The following is a 17,577-nucleotide window of genomic DNA, read 5'->3' on the forward strand; positions in this document are numbered from 1 at the left end:
AGGTATGTGCCACCACGCCTGGCTAATTTTTCAAAGAAAAAATTTTTTTAGTAGAGACAAGGTCTCACAGGTTGCCCAAGCTGGTCTTGGACTCTTGGCCTCAAGTGATCCTTTTGCCTCAGCTTCCCAAAGTGCTGGGATTACAGACATGAGCCACCATGCCTGCCCTAGACCTTTTGATGCTGTTCCATAGATCACAGGAGCGCTTTCCCTTTTCAAAAATCTTTCTTTTTCTTAAGAACAGATAATTTCGGCCGGGCATGGTGGCTCACGTCTGGAATCCCAGCACTTTGGGAGGCCGAGGCGGGTGAATCACTTGAGGTCAGGAGTTTAAGACCAGCCTGCCAACATGGCGAAACCTTGTCTTTACTAAAAATACAACAAATTAGCTGGGCGTGGTGGTGCACGTCTGTAATCCCAGCTACTCAGGAGGCTGAGGTGGGAGAATCGCTTGAGCCTGGAAGGCAGAGGTTGCAGTGAGCCAAGATTGCGCCACTGCACTCCAGCCTGGATGACAGAGCAAGACTCCGTCTCAAGAAACAAACAAACAAACAACAACAAAAAACTATATAATTTCTATTAATATTTTTAAGTTTGCTGATTCTTCTTATTGCCATTTCCAATCTGCTGTTAAGGCCATCCGGTAAATTTTCCTTTTCAAATATTATATTTTTCAGTACTAGATTTTCCATTTGGCTTTTCAATAGTTTCTACTTCTCCACTGAAATTTCCTATTTCATTATGAGCATAATTTCCTTTATCTATGAGGAAATTTAAAAATTCTTTAAATTCCACTGGGCGCGGTGGCTCATGCCTGTAATCACAGCACTTTGGGAGGCTGAGGTGGGTGGATCACCTGAGGCCAGGAGATCAAGACCAGCCTGGCCAACATGGCGAAACCCCAACTCTACTACAAAAATTAGACGGTGTGTGACGCGCGCCTGTAGTCCCAGCTACTCAGGAGGCTGAGGCAAGGGAATCGCTTGAACCCGGGAGGCGGAGGTTGCAGTGAGCCAAGATCGCACCACTGTACTCCAGTCCAGGTGACAGAGTGAAACTCAGACTCAAAATAAAAAAATAAAAAAGAAAAAAAAGAAAAATTAATATGCTGTAGAGAATCTGGATTGCATTATGTTTTTCTGAAAAGTGTGGATTTTAAAATTTTACACAGGCAATTAATATGGCTGCACGCAAGATGTGGGCAGAGTTCATGAACAGCATTTAGTGCTCCTCCTCTGTGTTTCTCTTCTTTCTAGGCTTTCCCCCTCATTTCCTAGTGGTTGTGGAAGGCCCAAAATGTGTCTTCTCGTTATTCAAGCTAAGATTTTTTTTTCTTTTTTTTTTGAGACAGAGTCTCACTCTGTTGCCCAGGCTGGAGTGCAGTGGTGTGATCTTGGCTCACTGCAACCTCCGCCTCCCATGTTCAAGTGATTCTCCCCCATTAGCCTCCCAAGTGGCTGGGATTACAGGCATGTGCCACCATGCCTGGCTAATTTTTATATTTTTAGTAGAGATGGGGTTTCACCATGTCGGCCTGCTTTGGCCTCCCAAAGTGCTGGGATTACAGGCATGAGCCAATGCACCCAGTCGGATTGTGGTTTTCCATCCAACTGTTAGTCCCGTTACTTCCCATACCAACTTGGACTTGTCCTCAGCAAAATCATGTAAGAGTAAAATGGTAATTTGTCCAATGCCATTTCATTCTTCCAAGTATCAACTCCCCTCCAATGTCTGCCCACTCGTGGTCCTTCTCTACTGTTCAGGCAGTTGTTTCTTATATTTTTTTCCGGAGTTGATCATTGTTATTTGTAGGAGGGTTAGTCTGATGAGAGCTACTGTGACAAAACTGGAAGTAAACCCAAAGATTCTTTAAATTTTTTATCACTAAAAAATCGTTATGGGCTGGGTGCTGTGGCTCATGCCTGTAATCCTAGGACTTTGGGAAGCTAAAATGGGTGGATTGCTTGAGCCCAGGAGTTTGAGACCAGGCTGGGCAACATAGTGAAACTCAATTTCTACAAAAAATACAAAACTTAGCTGGGTGTGGTGGCATGTGCCTATAGTCCCAGTTACTCAGGAGGATGAGGCAGGTGGATTGCTTGAGCCTGGGAGGTTGAGGCTACAGTGAACCGTGAGCATGCCATTGCACTGTAACCTGGGTGACAGCGAGACCCTGACTCAAAAAAAAAGGAATTTAACTCTTCCAGTTTTAGCCACATTCTCTGACATTCTCTAAGTTTTGATTTGCAACGTCTTTATTTTCTAAGTATCTGGCAATATTTTTTACGTGTTCCTGATCAAATAGTTAGAAGTGTACTTTTTTTTAGTTTCTAAGCAGTAGGGTTTTTTGTTTTATGAGTTTTTTTTTTTTTTTTTTTTTTTTTGAGACAGAGTCTTGCTCTGTCACCCAGGCTGGAGTGCAGTGGCACGATCTCGGCTCACTGCAACCTCCGCCTCCCAGGTTCAAGTGATTCTCATGCCTCAGCCTCCCAAATAGCTGGGATCACAGGCACCTGCCACAACGCCCAGCTTATTTTTATATTTTAGTAGAGATGGGGTTTCACCATGTTGGCCAGGCTAGTCTTGAATGCCTGACCCCGAGTGATCCACCTGCCTCGGCTTCCCAAAGTGCTGGGATTATAGTCATGAGCCACCGCGCCCGGCCTGTTTATATTTTTAATATGAGTTTAGTTTTATTGTATTTCGGTCCAAAACTGTGGTCTGTGCAATTTCTATTCCTTTGAATTTTGCTAGGGACTTTTGGTTGCTGAGTATTTGAAAATTTTGTCTATTTAAGAAGGTTATATATCAATTAATGCTACCTCATTAACAGCACTTACTTGTCACCACAGAAAGTCAAAGTAAGCATTTAGAGTATTCGTGGTATTCAAACTTTTTTTTGGTGCCACAGAAGCTTTTGTTTGAAACAAATAAAACACTTATTCACTTACACATAAAACAGATCAGAGAACAGTTCTGGTTATATGGGGGCGTGGAGTGGAGCAGCAGGAGGCTAGAGACTAACTTGCTAGATTCTTTCTTTTCTTTGGCTAACTGTGGAGTTCCTTAAAAGTGAAAGATGTTGGAAAAAGAGTGGTTTTGAGAGATGTGATGTGAAGAAGAACTCAACCTGCTGCTGCTGCTTTTGACGATGGAAGAAGAGGCCAAGAGCCAAGGAGTGCGGCAGCCTCTGGAAGCTTGGAACAGCCCTCAGCTTACAGTCAGCAGAATGACAGAGACCTCGGGCTCACAACCACAAGGAACTGCATTCCACCAATAGCGCAAATGAGCAAAAAATATTTTCCTCTAGGCTCCAGAAAGGAATGCAGCCTGCTGACACCTTGATTTTAGTCTGATGAGACTATACCAGTCTTTTGACCTACAGAACTATAAGATAATACATTTAGGTTGTTTTAAGTCACTAAGTTTGTGGTAATTTGCTCTGACAGAAATAGAAAACTAACACGCCAGTCCAATTTTTAACATTTTAACCACATCCCTACCTTGTCCATTCAAGGCAAGTTTCTGGCGGTTCTGTTATTATTATAGAAAACACAGGTCCAGATGTATAAGATATAATCAATACATTCAGCATTAAAAAAATGGTAATATATTAAATGACTTTAAATACTGTGCATAAAGTTAATTATACCAGTATTTCTAGAAATTTGTCATACTTTCATTTGGGAATTATTTTGGTATTATTCTTCTGAATCAGGTAACAACCTCATTTTTTTTTTTTTTTTGGAGACAGAGTCTCACTCTGTTGCCCAGGCTGGAGTGCAATGGCATGATCTCAGCTCACTGCAACCTCTGCCTCCTGGGTTCAAGCAATTTTTGTGCCCCAGCCTCCTGAGTGGCTGGGATTACAGGCATGAGCCACTATACCCAGCTAATTTCTGTATTTTTAGTAGAGAGGGGAGTTTCACCATGTTGGCCACATTGGTCTTGAACTCCCAACCTCAGATGATCTGCCCGCCTGAGCCTCCCAAAGTGCTGGGATTATAGGCGTGAGCCACCGTGCCCGGCCCAAGCTCATTCTTGTTTTAAAAACAGAGCCATCGGATGATCTCAGATTTTTAAGCCTTCCAAGGATGTGAAAAGCATGTCCCTAAATCAAATCAAGAACTCTCCTTCAATAGCTGGCTTTCACAGAGATACTCACTTATTAAGGTCAACTTCATAAGTCTGCATATGAGGTTTGTCTCCAGCCTTGTCTGGGTCCCATCGATAGATGGCAAATTTCTTGATACGGGGAGCTGTGGCTGCAGCTGTCTGGGCTCCTCGGGAGGCCTGAAATTTTTTAAAGTTCACAAAAAGGAAAAAAAAATTAGAAATACAAGATAATTCCATTTTGCTGGCACAACAGATGTAACGCTGGATATAAACTCACACATTACTGACACATAATCTTCTTAGAAAAGGCAGGCATTCAATATCCAACAAGTATTAAGCACCTATCATATGCTAATATATCAGACATGGTATTAGGGGCTAGTGACACAGCACTTAATACACAAAAACCTTCATCTTCACAGAACTTACTTTGTAGTGAACAAGAGTTAAATTAAACATTCACGATGAATATAAAGAGCGATACTGTTGGGAAAGTACAGGGAGCTCTGGATGAATACAGCAGAGACTTCAATGAGTGAAGAGTCAGAGAAGGCTTCCTCACATGTCATCTAAGTGGAGGCTTGACAAACCAGAATTAAGGGGAAGGAGTGTGGGGTGTGGTCTGAGGGTGGTGGCTCATGCCTGCAGTCTCAGCACTTTGGGAGGCAGAAGTGAGAGAATTGCTTGAGCCCATGAGTTTGAGAGCAGTCTGGGAAACATGGCAAAACCCCATCTCTACAAAAAATAAAAAAATTAGCTGGGTGTCGTAGTGTGCGTCTCAGGAGGCAGAAGTGGGAGGACTGCTTGGGCCCGAGAGGTTGAGGCTGCAGTGAGCCAAGATCATGCCACTGCACTCTAGCCTGGGCAACAGAGTGAGACTCTTTTTCAAAAATACAAAATAAAAAAGAAAAAAAGAAAGAAAAGACTATACTCCAGGACTGCTAATTTTTAAAATAAACTGATATAGAAAAGTAAAAACTCGGAAGGTTAATTGACTAATTACAAAAAGATGCAGTGGTGTTTATTACTGAGGCAGGAGAACAGGGTTTAGAGACAGGGAGTCTTCACTACAGCCTCTGATTCGTCTCGGGCCAAGTCTTCATTTGCATAGGGTGTAACTAATAGGAAACCCGTACAGGGTACTTTAATCCCAGAAGACTGTGCAGCTGGGGCTCTTGAACCACTTGCTCAATCCCACTCCTACTCTATGGAGTGTACTTTCATTTCAATAAATCTATGCTTTCGTCTTCTGTTGCTTTGCTTGTGTGTTTTGTCCAATTTTTTGTTCAACATGCTAAAAACCTTGACGACTTGTGGTCAAGACCGTCTACCAGTAACATTATTTCTTGGTAAAGTGTCCCGTATTAACTGAAGCTGAAAATACAAACATCAGCTAACAGTAGAAAAGAAGAAAATATATGAAGAAAATGAAAGTTAAGATGAAAGCTATGTTTTACCTTATCACCAAGCTGGCTAAAATCATCAACAAAAGGAAAGCCATTTCTACAAATGTTTTTCACCGGGAACCCCATTTTGTAAACTGACATGAACATCTAATGCCACCTTGTGGTATTTGGGAGGAAGTGAGAGGAAAGATTCCTGAAGGTATCAACTCCAGTGGACTTTGCTTGCTTAATGTCCCATTTTTTTTTTGGTCTTTTTTCTGTGAGATTTAATAAGGTATAATTCATTATAATAAAATTCACTAATTTTAAGGGTATAATGAGTTTTGACAAAGCAATGTAATCCTACCACAATTACAACAGAGTATTTCCATCCAAAAAGGTCTTTTGTGCCCTTGATGGCAAACATAAGTCCCCTTTTCCTACCCTTAGCAACTGATCAGCTATCATCACGAGTCTGCCTTTTACAGAATTCATATAAATGGCATCATACGGTACGTAGTCTCATGTCTAGCTTCTTTCACTCAACATAATGCTTCTGAGATTCATATGTTACTGCATATAACCATAGTTAAATGCTTTTTTAAAAAATTAAACTATTTATTTATTTATTTATCTTTGAGACTGAGTTTTGCTCTTGTTGCCCAGGCTGGAGTGCAATGGTGCAATCTTGGCTCACCACAACCTCCGCCTCCCCGGTTCAAGCAATTCTCCTGCCTCAGTCTCCCGAGTAGCTGGGATTACAGGCATGTGCTACCAGGCCCGGCTAATTTTGTATTTTTAGTAGAGATGTGGTTTGTCTATGTTGGTCAGGGTAGTCTCAAACTCCCAACCTCAGGTGATCTGCCTGCCTTGGCCTCCCAAACTGCTAGGATTACAGGCGTGAGCCACCGTGCCTGGCCAACCTTTTTATTTTTTAATAATTATAGATTCATATGCATTTATAGAAAATAATACTGAGGCCAGGTGCAGTGGCTCACACCTGTATCCCAGTACTTTGGGAGGCCAAGACAGACGAATCACTTGAGGTCAGGAGTTCAAGACCAGCCTGGCCAACATGGTGAAACTCCGTCTCTACTAAAGATACAAAAATTAGCCCGGTGTGGTGGCACATGTCTGTAATCCCAGCTACTCGGGAGGCAGAGGCAGGAGAATCGCTTGACCCTGGGAGACGGAGATTGCAGTGAGCCAAGATTGCGCCACTGCACTCCAGCCTGGGTGACAGAGTGAGACGCTGTTTCAAAGAAACAAAACAAAACAAAAAGAAGAAAATAATACTGAGACTCCACATACTCTTCTCACCTGTAATCCCAGCACTTTGGGAGGCTGAGGTTGGGAAATCACCTGAGATCAGGGATTCAAGACCAGCCCAGCCAACATGGTGAAACCCCGTCCCTACTAAAAATACAAAAAAACGAATTAGCAGGGTGTGGTGGCGTGTGCCTGTAATCCCAGCTACTAGGGAGGCTGAGGCAGGAGAATGGCTTGAACTTGGGAGGTAAAGGTTGCAGTGAGCTAAGACTGTGCCACTGTATACCACCCTGGGTGACAAAGTGAAACTCAAGCTAAAAAAAAAAAAAAAAGAGAGAGAGTTTTGCTCTGTCACTGATTGTGCAGTGGCATGATCACAGCTCACTGCAGCCTCAACCTTCTGGACTCAAGCGATCCTCCCATCTCAGCTTCCCCAGTAGCTAGGACTACAGGCATGCGCCACCATGCCCAGTTAGTTTTTTTACATTTATTTTTGTAGAGATAGGGGTCTCACTGTGTTGCCTAGGCTGGTCTTGAACTCCTGGCCCCAAGTGATCCTCTGCCTGGCCCTCCCGAAGAGTTGGGATATAGGCATGAGCCACCATGCCAGGGCCCACATACTCTTTACCCAGTCTCCCCAACAGGAACATCTTGCAAACTGTAGCACACCAGCACAACCAGAATACTGACAGTGCTAGTCAAGATAGGGGACATTCCCATAAGCACAGGATCACTAACATTGCCCTTTTATAGCCCTGTCCACTTCCTCCCACCCTACCTCCCCTGTACTCCGTAAGCCCTAGCAATCACTAATCTGTTCTCTACTTCTCAAATTCGGTCATTTCAAGAATGTTATATCAATATAATCATCTGGTATGTAGCCTTTTGGAATTGGCTTTTTTTATTCAGCCGAATTCTCCGGAGATTCATCCAAGTTGCTGTGTACAGCAATAGCTTTTTTCTTGTTATAGCTGAGTAGCACTCCAAGGTATCATGTACCACAATTTGCTTAACCATGTAACTACTGAGGGACATTGGGGGTGTTCTAATTTTTGGTGACATGAATAAAGCTGAGATGAACATTTGTGGACAAATTTCTGTGTGAACGTTACATCTTCATTTCTCAGGATAAACACCCAGGTGTGTAATTGTTGGGCTGTATGGTAGCTACAAGTTTAGTTTTTTTTAAGCAACTGACAAAACTATTTTCCAGAGTGGGTGGCTGCTGTGCCTGAGGCAGATAGTAGGGTAAGTGGGACAATATGCCTTTTAAAAAATGGGGCTACTTCAAGTTTTTACTTCTAATTTGGACACTTTTATTTTTCATTTATTTTTTAAAATATTTATTTATTTATTTATTTTGAGATGGGGTCTCACTCTTGTCCCCCAGGCTGGAGTACAATGGCGCGATCTCGGCTCACTGCAACCTCCACCTCCCGACTTCAAGTGATTCTTCTGCCTCAGCCTCCTGAGTAGCTGGGACTACAGGTGCCTGCCACCACGCCGAGCTAATTTTTATATTTTTAGTAGAGACGGGGTTTCACCATGTTGGCCAGGCTGGTCTTGAACTCCTGACCTCAGGTGATCCGCCTGCCTTGGCCTCCCAAAGTGCTGGGATTATAGGTACAGGCCACCTTGCCCGGCCTTTATTTTTTATTTTTATAGACACATGGTCTAGCTTTATTGCCCAGGCTGGAGATCATGGCTCACTGCAGCCTTTAACTCCTGGGCTCAGGCGATCATCCTGACTCAGCCTCCCAAGTAGCTGGGACTATAGGTGCACACCATCATGTCCAGCTAATTTTTGTAGAGACAGGGTCTTGCCATGTTGGCTAAGCTGGTATGGAATTTCTGGGCTTAAGCAATCCTCCCATCTCAGCCTCCCAAAGTGTTGGGATTACAGGTGTGAGCCATTGTGTCTGGCCCTAACTTGGACTTTTTTTTTTCTTTTTTGGAGAGTCTCATTCTGTTGCTCAGGCTGGAGTGCAGTGGCGCGATCTTGGATCGCTGCAACCTCCACCCCTCAGGCTCATGCAATTCTCCTGTCTCAGCCACCCGGGTAGCTGGGATTACAGGCATGTGCCATAAAGTCCAGCTAATTTTTGTATTTTTAGTACAGACAAGGTTTTGCCATTTGGCCAGGCTGGGCTCAAACTCCTGGCCTCAAGTGATCCACCTGCCTCAGCGTTCCAAAGTGTTGGGATTACAGGTGTGAGCAACCGCGCCTGGCCCCTAACCGGGCTTTAAACAGAATCTGGGACTGGAGCATAATCCCCTAGTTCTTTTTTTTTTTTTTTTTTTTTTTTTTTTTTGTGAGACAGTCTCACTCTGTCACCCAGGCTGGAGTGGAGTGGCGAGATCTCTCTGCCTCCTGGGTTCAAGCAATTCTCCTGCCTCAGCCTCCCAAGTAGCTGGGATTACAGGCGCGTGTCACACGCCCGGCTAACTTTTTTGTATTTTTAGTAGGGATGGGGTTTCACCGTTTTAGCCAGGATGGTCTTGAACTCCTGATGTCGTGATCCACCTGCCTCAGCCTCCCAAAGTGCTGGATTACATACAGGTGTGAGCCACTGTGCCAGGCATAACCCCCTAGTTCTAAAGCCTGATTTAGTATTGTCAGTGGGCAACAGGCATTAGGCTCTATCAAGCTGGGTATCAGAACCACAAGGCCTGTGGGATGACTGTGGTTACCTGCAATGAGGTTTTCCCTTCAACATTTCTTTATAACATTTAAATATCTGTTTCATATCCACTCTACACGGATAATTGATCACGTATTATCTTTCCAAAAGAGACTAAGTTTGTATTAGAGCTAATTTAAATTTTTAAAAAGTCTTATCATATGAATGATGTGAAATAAGAGCAATGCCAGGATGTACTACACTGAATATCTAAGTCGACATATCCCAACATCAGTTTTGGAGTGCCCCAAAATGTCATCATTTTTTTTTTTTCAGTACAACTAATTTAAATTTGTTTTGTGTCAAAAATGTATTTTATAGGCCAGGCGTGGTGGCTCATGCCTGTAATCCCAGTACTTTGGGAGGCCGAGGCAGGTGGATTACCTGAGGTCAGGAGTTCGAGATCAGCCTGGCCAACACGGTGAAACCCCGTCTCTACTAAAAATACAAAAAAATTAGACAGGCACGATGGCGGGCACCTGTAATCTCAGCTACTTGGGAGGCCGAGGCAGGAGAATTGCTTGAAATCCGGGAGGCGGAGGGTACGGTGAGCCAAGATTCCGCCACTGCACTCCATCCTGGGCAACAACGTGAGCGTGACTCTGTCTCAAAAAAAAAAAAAAATGTATTTCATACAATATTTGGTGGGGCAAAGGGGGTTTACCAGAATGAAAGAAGATTCTGAAATCAAAATCACCAGAGTGGTCATGGTTCTGAAAGTGATAGAGCTTTGCTCATCTTGAGGTCTGTACAAAGAGTTAATTCTCAGGATTATGTTATCTGTGTTCCACCAAAAAATTCGTTGAATACATATATCTAAAAATTTGCCAGATTTCATTCATCGAACCTTTATAATCTGTCACACACGGTGCCAAATAATCTCTAATCTTTATAACATCTCTATGAAAAATGTTTTGTTGTTCCCAGTTAAAAGACGAGGATAGGATCATATAGCAACACAGGTCACTTGATTCAAAAATCCAACCTTTTAGCCATTATAACCAGTGGTGAAAACGCAAACATAAAACGCAACAGTGCAAAAAGATAATTCCATTTCACAATGAGATCCAAGGAACAAAAGAAGTTGTTGCTCTAATCATACAATGAGACTATATGATTTTTTTCCCCTTGTTACCTGCCCAGCAATTTATACTACAAATCCAAAAGGAAAGAGGGCCCCTTGAAAGCATTTTTACGTTAATCTAAAGACTAATGAGTATTCAAGGCAGAAAGTACATTCCTAGGAAATCTTGGATAGTATGAATTTCATAGTTTATAATTTAAGCAAGGTAAGCAACAACTGAACTGAGAAGGGTGAATTCTGAATGGTGCTGAAGGCTGGTTGTTGTTCCTCCAGTAAAGTGTCCTTAGGGTGCAGGCTTGGAGTTGGATGGAGTGGATAAAGATTTGGAGGCCAGAGAAGAAGGTGGGGAAATAGAGAGGAAGAAAGCAAAAAGGACTGTATGAAGATAAGCCTGAGTAAAATACAAGGTGCAGGCTTGCTGAAAAGTGTGATTGGTGATGCTTGAAATCCAAGCTCTATCACTTACAAGCTGTGTATTCTTCTGCAAATTATTAGCTTTTCGGATTCTATTTCTTCCTTTGTAAAGGGTGGGTAGTATTAATATCTGCCTCATAAGATAACCCGGGGGAGGGGGGGTCAAGTTTCTAGCATAGCCCAGAAAAAAATTTTTGCTCTACAAGATTGGCAACCTTATCAGTCTTTGTATTATTCTGATTTGTAAATAGGTATCCTAGCCCTGCCAGCCTAAGGAACAAGATGCACATTTTTTAAATTTTTTTTTTTTTTTTGAGACTGAGTTTCGCTCTTGTCGCCCAGGATGGAGTGCAATGGTGCGATTTCAGCTCACTGCACCCTCCACCTCCCAGGTTCAAGCAATTCTCCTGCCTCAGCCTCCTGTGTAGCTAGGATTATAGGCGCCCACCACCACGCCCAGCTAATTTTTTTTTTATTTTTTTAGTAGAGACGGGGTTTCACCATGTTGGCCGGGCTGGTCTTGAACTCCTGACCTCAGGTGATCCACCCACCTTGGCCTCCCAAAGTGCTGGAATTACAGGCATGAGCCACTGCACCTGGCAAGATACACACTTTTAAGTAGGTAGTTCTTGTCCTAAAGGAGTTCATAGTCCAGATGAAGAAATAAGGCAACACAAACAATAGTTAATATACTACAGTCAAATACTTACAGGCAGAATTGTGGTTCAGTGGTCAGACTATAAGCATAAAAAGAATTCAGAACCTGAACCTGAATGTTACCCACAGGTAACACACCAAGCTCATTACTGAATTCTTTTGAGGTGGCTTTTGTGGGTATACATGTACATTCCCACAAGGAAGGGGAGGCCTTGGGGCTCTTCTATTTTCTGTTGCCCTCAGGAGGCCCTGCAAAGACCTTGCCTGGAATTACAAAAATGACCTATGAAATTAGCCTTTTCTACAATGCATTCTTAGAAGAGGGGCTTGGAACTCTCTCGTTAGTGGGGCTCTCACAATTTAATTGTTTGCTCAGCAACTATAAAAGGAACAGGTAAACAAGCTCATTATCAATCATCAATTTAATACTGAGAGGATGTCAGCTTGAGGCTCTGGTAGGCTGTCTTCTTCCTCTATCTCCCCTTTTCAGAAAGGCTGATGCAGACAGAGTGGATCCAAGTTCACACACAGCATGCTGGATAGAACCAGGATTGGAACATGGGCAATATGTACTGTGTTATGCAGCCATAGCAGGCACTTAAGATGAAAGATGTCCTCATTTAAGTGCAAGAGAGGAAGAGGAACTAAAATTTCTTGGACACCAACCATGTCCCAAGATCTATGCTAAGGAGTTTTTCTGGTACCATGTTAAAAAACTGCCTCAGGTCTGCTTCTTGGGAATGTGATATTTTGAGCAAGCCAAAAATTTTCTTTCTGGGGGCCTCAAGTTTTCAAAGCTCCAAAAAGGAGGGTAAGGATTCTTGCTTGCCCACCTTAAAGGGGTTGTTGAGAATCCCAGAAGAGGAACAGACTTAGAAAGGATTTGCAAATCCTTAGTCCCTTATGTATACAAAAGCAATTTCCCTTCCCCTTCTAAATGTTCCCACTTAGAAGGCAGGTCAGAAATGTGTTGTTTCTTGGCCATACAAGGGGCGTGGGAAAATCTGTTACTGCACACGGCATAGTAATAAACAAGAACAGCGCCAAGCCCTCTACCTGTCATTCCATGTCAACTCTATGAGGTCCGTATTATTATATGACCTTTAGAGTCAGAAACACTGAGAGGATACTAGTGAAACTGTGGTGACACTGCTTTAAGGAACCCAGTCTTTCCTGCAACCCCCACCACCCACCTCCGGGATCCTTCGAGGTAGGGGGCTGGGTGCATTTCCCTCCATCTCTCCCTTCCCCTGCCCTGTCCCCAACAATTCACATGTCCTTTCCTCACCCATCCCGGTCCTCAACCTCGCACCCTTGAGGAATTACCTCGCTTCCCAATTCCCATCCTTCACACCCCGCAGGTCTCCCTTTTCTACAGAGGCGATAGTTTGGTGGCAGAAAAAGGGCTTGGAACTCCAATGTCTGGATTCAAATTCTGGTTCCAGCAGTCATTCGCTTGCCATGTGACCTTGAGCAATTCAAGTCCCCTTTCTGAACGTCCCCCCCCCCCGCACCCTTAGCTGTAAAAAATTGCCCGTGCCCTAACTCACAAGCTGCTGCGAGGCGCAGAAAGATAACTTGACAGGGATGCTCGAAGCCAAACCAAAGCACTGCACCAGGGGGAGGAGGTCCTCCATCTCCCTGAGGCCTTGCCCTATGCTTCCTCAGTCTCTCCGCAGCCCCATCAGCTCCAGGCAGTCTCTGTGGCTTTCCTGACTTTTCCCTCTCTGAGGCTCCAGGACTCACCTGCAGGCAGGCTCCGCCAAGGGTTGTGGCCGGCAACCGGCGCCTCAAGGAGAGGGCGACCACCGCCGCCATCTTGGCTCCTGACGTCAGCCCCACCCCTTAACCCCGAGGTCGCTCTCCGCCGGTGTCCCGTCGAACATCGCGGCGCCCAGCCTACATCCACTGAGGACCCACTAGCCGCGTACGAGCAACCAAGTGGGAGGCGGCTTCCGGTTTCCCGGGTGGGCGGAGGGAAGGCGGGGCAAGCACAGCGAGCGTGCGCAATAGCGCAGTAGCGGCGCATGCCCATTTGGCTTCCCCCGTGACCTTCTCAGAAAGGGGAGGAGTCTGAGAGGCAGGGCGACTTTCAGGGGGTGGGGCTAAGACTTAGATGGGGCGGAGCCATCCTATCCGGGTCCCTGCCCCGATTTCAACCTCTTTATTCCTGGAATTTTTGTTTGTTTGTTTGAGATGGAGTCTCGCACTGTTTCCCGGGCTGGAGTGCAATGGCGCGATCTTGGCTCACTGCAACCTCCGCCTCCCGGGTTCACGCGATTCTCCTGCCTCAGCCTCCCGAGTAGCTGGGATTACAGGCGCACACCATCACACCCGGCTAATTTTTTGTATTTTTAGTAGAGACGGGGTTTCATCATCTTGGCCAGACTGGTCTTGAACTCCTGACCTCGTGATCCGCCCACCTTGGCCTCCCAAAGTGCTGGAATTACAGGCATGAGCCACTGCGCCCGGCCAATTTTTTTTTTTTTTTTCAGACAGGGTCTCACTCTGTTGCCCAGGCCGGTGTGCAGTCTTGGCTCACTGCAGCCTCGACTTCCCAGGCTCAAGCGATCCTCCCACCTCCAGAGTAGCTGGGACTACAGGCGTGTGAGCCACCATACCCGGGTAGTTTTTTTTTTTTTCTTTTTTTTGAGATGGAGTATCGCTCTGTCTCCCAGGCTGGAGTGCAGTGGCGCGATCTCGGCTGACTGCAACCTCCGCCTCCCGGGTTCAAGCAATTCCCTGCCTCAGCCTCCCGAGTAGCTGGGATTATAGGCGTCCGCCATCATGCCCGGCTAATTTTTTTGTGTTTTTAGTAGAGATGGGGTTTCACCATCTTGGCCAGGCTGGTCTTGAACTCCTGACCTCGTGAGCCACCCACCTCGGCCTCCCAAAGTACTGGAATTACAGGCATGAGCCACCGCGCCCGGCCACCCGGATAATTTTTTTAAAAAATTATTTGTAGAGATGGAGTCTGGCTATGTTGCCCAGGCTGGGCTCAAGCAATCATCCTGCTCCAACTTCCCAAAGTGCTGGGATTACAGGCGTGAGCCACCACACCTAGCCTCCCTAAGAATTTGTCAGTCTTATTATTCATCTCTGACGCTTACTGGCTTGAGTCAGCCCTTTCTGTCGCATACCGTGCAGCTTGCCCGAGGCTGCCCAGGTTTCTGCACTGAGAGTCCCAAACAAACTGGGCAGTTGGTGAATGAGCTGAGGTGATTTCAAGGGTGGCTGGCAAAGGTGCCATTCTTTTGTTCGTTCATTCATTCATTCATAAATACGAATGGAGTGGCTACTATGTGGCAGGCACCAAGTGCTGGGATGCTGCAGGGAATGAGCAAGCCAGGTGGTCACTGCTCATTGAATTTACTCTCTAGTGGTGGAGACGGCAAGTGAGCAGACAGCTAGACACTGTGAGCTCTGTTCTGTACGAGAGGGTGTGCCCAGAGAAGGACACCCAGTCCTTGGTGGCTTTGTTAGCCATTTAATATAAGAAACCATTTCTACTCTGTGCCAAACATTATGGTCCATTATCCCACTTAATCCCCACAGCAGTTCTGTGAAGAAAGTTTTTTGGTTTTGTTTTTTACTGAGTTTCCATTTTAGACATCTCAGCTTCTTTTTCCAGCCCCCTCCATGGATCTGCTCAGAGCTGGCCTCACTCTTGGGACTTACCTTGGGCAGGAGTGGCCTGGAGCCTCCAAGGCACCTGCCTCTTCAGTCACTCCACGCGTTTGTGTAGATTGTTAACCTTGCAGGTCCCGGGGTTTCGTAGGAGTGATTTTTTTTTCCCCTTTCTGTCTGCTTGTTTTGGACATGTGAAGGGCGCCTTTCTATAGTCTTTGGTTTCCACTCTCACAGCTGATGTGGATGCTACTGGAGACATTGAGATGGCCAGGTCAATTGGCTGGATGGGCTGTTTCTGGAGTCCTTGACTGGAACCCCGCTATACCGCCAGTGTGGCCTCATTAAAGGGGGTGTGTAGTGAGGCCTGAACCTCTAGGTCTAACCTGGAATATTCTCTTCAAGGCCATGTGACCTTGGATAAGCCCCTCCCCATCTTTGACCTATAGTTTCCTTGCCTGAACCATTAGGGTGTTGGGCCCTCTGATTTAAGATTCTGTGATTCACGTGGCTGTCTTGTGGATAACTGGTAACAATGCTGAGGTCACCTTGACTTTCACTGGTGCTGACCCAGGACTGGAACAGGGCCCCTCTGGTCTGCCCCATGGGGCCTCTTGGGTCACCCAAACTGGCTGAGATATGGGAAGACTGCCGCTCTGTCTCTAACTCCTAACTGAATTGTCGTCTGAGCTGAAGAAAGCTCTTCCTGAAAGGAATGTATTTCTAGAGAATTGGTCCTCTTAGCATTTTCAGGGTTCTTTCATCTCAAAGGCAGATGCCACCCCTAGATAAGCAACTACCCTTTCAGTTTGCCCAGGTCACCTTGGAAAAAGCAGTCTGAGGCCAGCATAAGTGAGACCTTGATTTATGGAGGGGCTGTTGGTGCCAATGGGCCCACATGCCCTGCAGTCACATCATTCCTGGGCTTCGTGGGGATTTGGGGAGCTCAAAGTTATGGAGGAATAAATTCCTGGGCGGCTGTACCTCCGCCCTGGACTTTGGGATGCCAGAAAGTCACAGCTGCAGAAGGACTTAGAAATTTTCATGGCCTGATCCTGACATATTTTCCAAAGATGTCCTCATGATAAGACCCTAGGTTTTTTTGGTTTATTTCCATTCGTCTAGAGAGTGACATATTGCTTTTCACCAGACAGTCTGCTAGACACTATGTTTATACTGAACTTTATCACTTGCAAAGGTGTTTACATAAACAGTCTCATTTAGTCCTCATAACCACACTTTTGGGTTGGAAAAGCTGCTCCTGTTTTCCAGACTCTCTCAGTCTTTGGACAGCAGGAAAACTGAGCAGCCTTAGGTGAGCGTTTTGCTTTAGGAGGTCTTTCTCCCCTAAGAGCTGGAAATCATGTCCAGAATTGAAAATTAAAACCAGCTGGGCAAAGTGGCTCATACCTGTAATCCCAGAACTTTGGGAGGCTGAAGTGGGAGGATCGATCCCTTGAGCCCAGGAGTTCGAGACCAGCCTGGGCAACATGGTGAGACCCTGTCTCTACAAAAAAATTTAAAATCCGCCAAGCATGGTGGTGCAAACCTGTAGTACCAGCTACTTGGGAGGCTGAAGTGGGAGGATTGCTTGAGTGCAGGAGGTCGAGGCTGCAGTGAGCTGTGATCACACCACTGCAACTCCAGCCTGGGCAACAGAGCAAGAACCTGTCTCAAAAAAATGAAAATAACAAAATAAAAAAGCATTATGTTGTATCAACTGTCATTTGTACAATCAATTGTAGTCTGGTGTCTTGTAATTTAGGGCAACCTGGATGATTTCTGCCAGCCAGAGGGTGAAGGAGGGTTGGATTTAGGAGGAAATATCAGATGTTGCCTGGGAGATTCATTTGCCTCTGGGAAAAACCCACAGCAACAGATTGCTGTGGTGGAGCTCTGGGGCCTTCTCATCTAAAATTTAGGATTTTTTTTTTCTTTTGAGATGGAGCCTCACTCTGTTGCCCAGTCTGGAGAGCAGTGGCACGATCTCGGCTCACTGCAAGCTCTTCCTCCCGGGTTCACGCCATTCTCCTGCCTCAGCCTCCCGAGTAGCTGGGACTACAGGCACCTGTCACCACGCACGGCTAATTTTTTGTATTTTGTTTAGTAGAGATGGGGTTTCACTGTATTAGCCAGGACAGTCTCGATCTCCTGACCTCGTGATCCACCCGCCTCGGACTCCCAAAGTGCTGAGATTACAGGCATGAGCCACTGCGCCCAGCCAAAATTTAGGATTTTATTTGCCTTTGGCCAGTGGGCTTCGTCCTTTCCGTCTCCCTGGCTGTCTCCTGAGCATCTCCATCTGGGCGTCCCAATGGTCCTTTAAACCCAACCTATCCCAAAC

The 17,577-nt window shown here is 45.4% G+C and overlaps 1 protein-coding gene across 2 annotated transcripts in view, besides 2 other annotated features; it reads right to left on the bottom strand.

Annotated features, from left to right (window-relative positions):
* Positions 1-13,437, bottom strand: part of SDHB (succinate dehydrogenase complex iron sulfur subunit B) — a 35,311-nt gene extending 21,874 nt beyond the window's left edge. For both annotated transcript variants that reach the window (NM_003000.3, NM_001407361.1), the window contains exons 1-2: positions 13,353-13,437; positions 4,166-4,293 (exon numbers count right to left, since the gene is read on the bottom strand). In NM_003000.3, the coding sequence (NP_002991.2) occupies positions 4,166-4,293; positions 13,353-13,424 (200 nt within the window). In that variant the 5' untranslated portion in view covers positions 13,425-13,437. The remainder of the gene's footprint in view (positions 1-4,165; positions 4,294-13,352) is intronic.
* Positions 13,317-13,376: an enhancer, noted in NCBI's record as "active region_277". NCBI's record gives its function as "activates an Ori minimal core promoter by ATAC-STARR-seq in GM12878 lymphoblastoid cells {active_cell/tissue: GM12878}" and the evidence as "EXISTENCE:reporter gene assay evidence [ECO:0000049][PMID:35858748]".
* Positions 13,927-13,976: an enhancer, noted in NCBI's record as "active region_278". NCBI's record gives its function as "activates an Ori minimal core promoter by ATAC-STARR-seq in GM12878 lymphoblastoid cells {active_cell/tissue: GM12878}" and the evidence as "EXISTENCE:reporter gene assay evidence [ECO:0000049][PMID:35858748]".

This window comes from Homo sapiens, chromosome 1 (genome assembly GCF_000001405.40).
Source record: "Homo sapiens chromosome 1, GRCh38.p14 Primary Assembly".
NCBI lineage: Eukaryota > Metazoa > Chordata > Mammalia > Primates > Hominidae > Homo > Homo sapiens.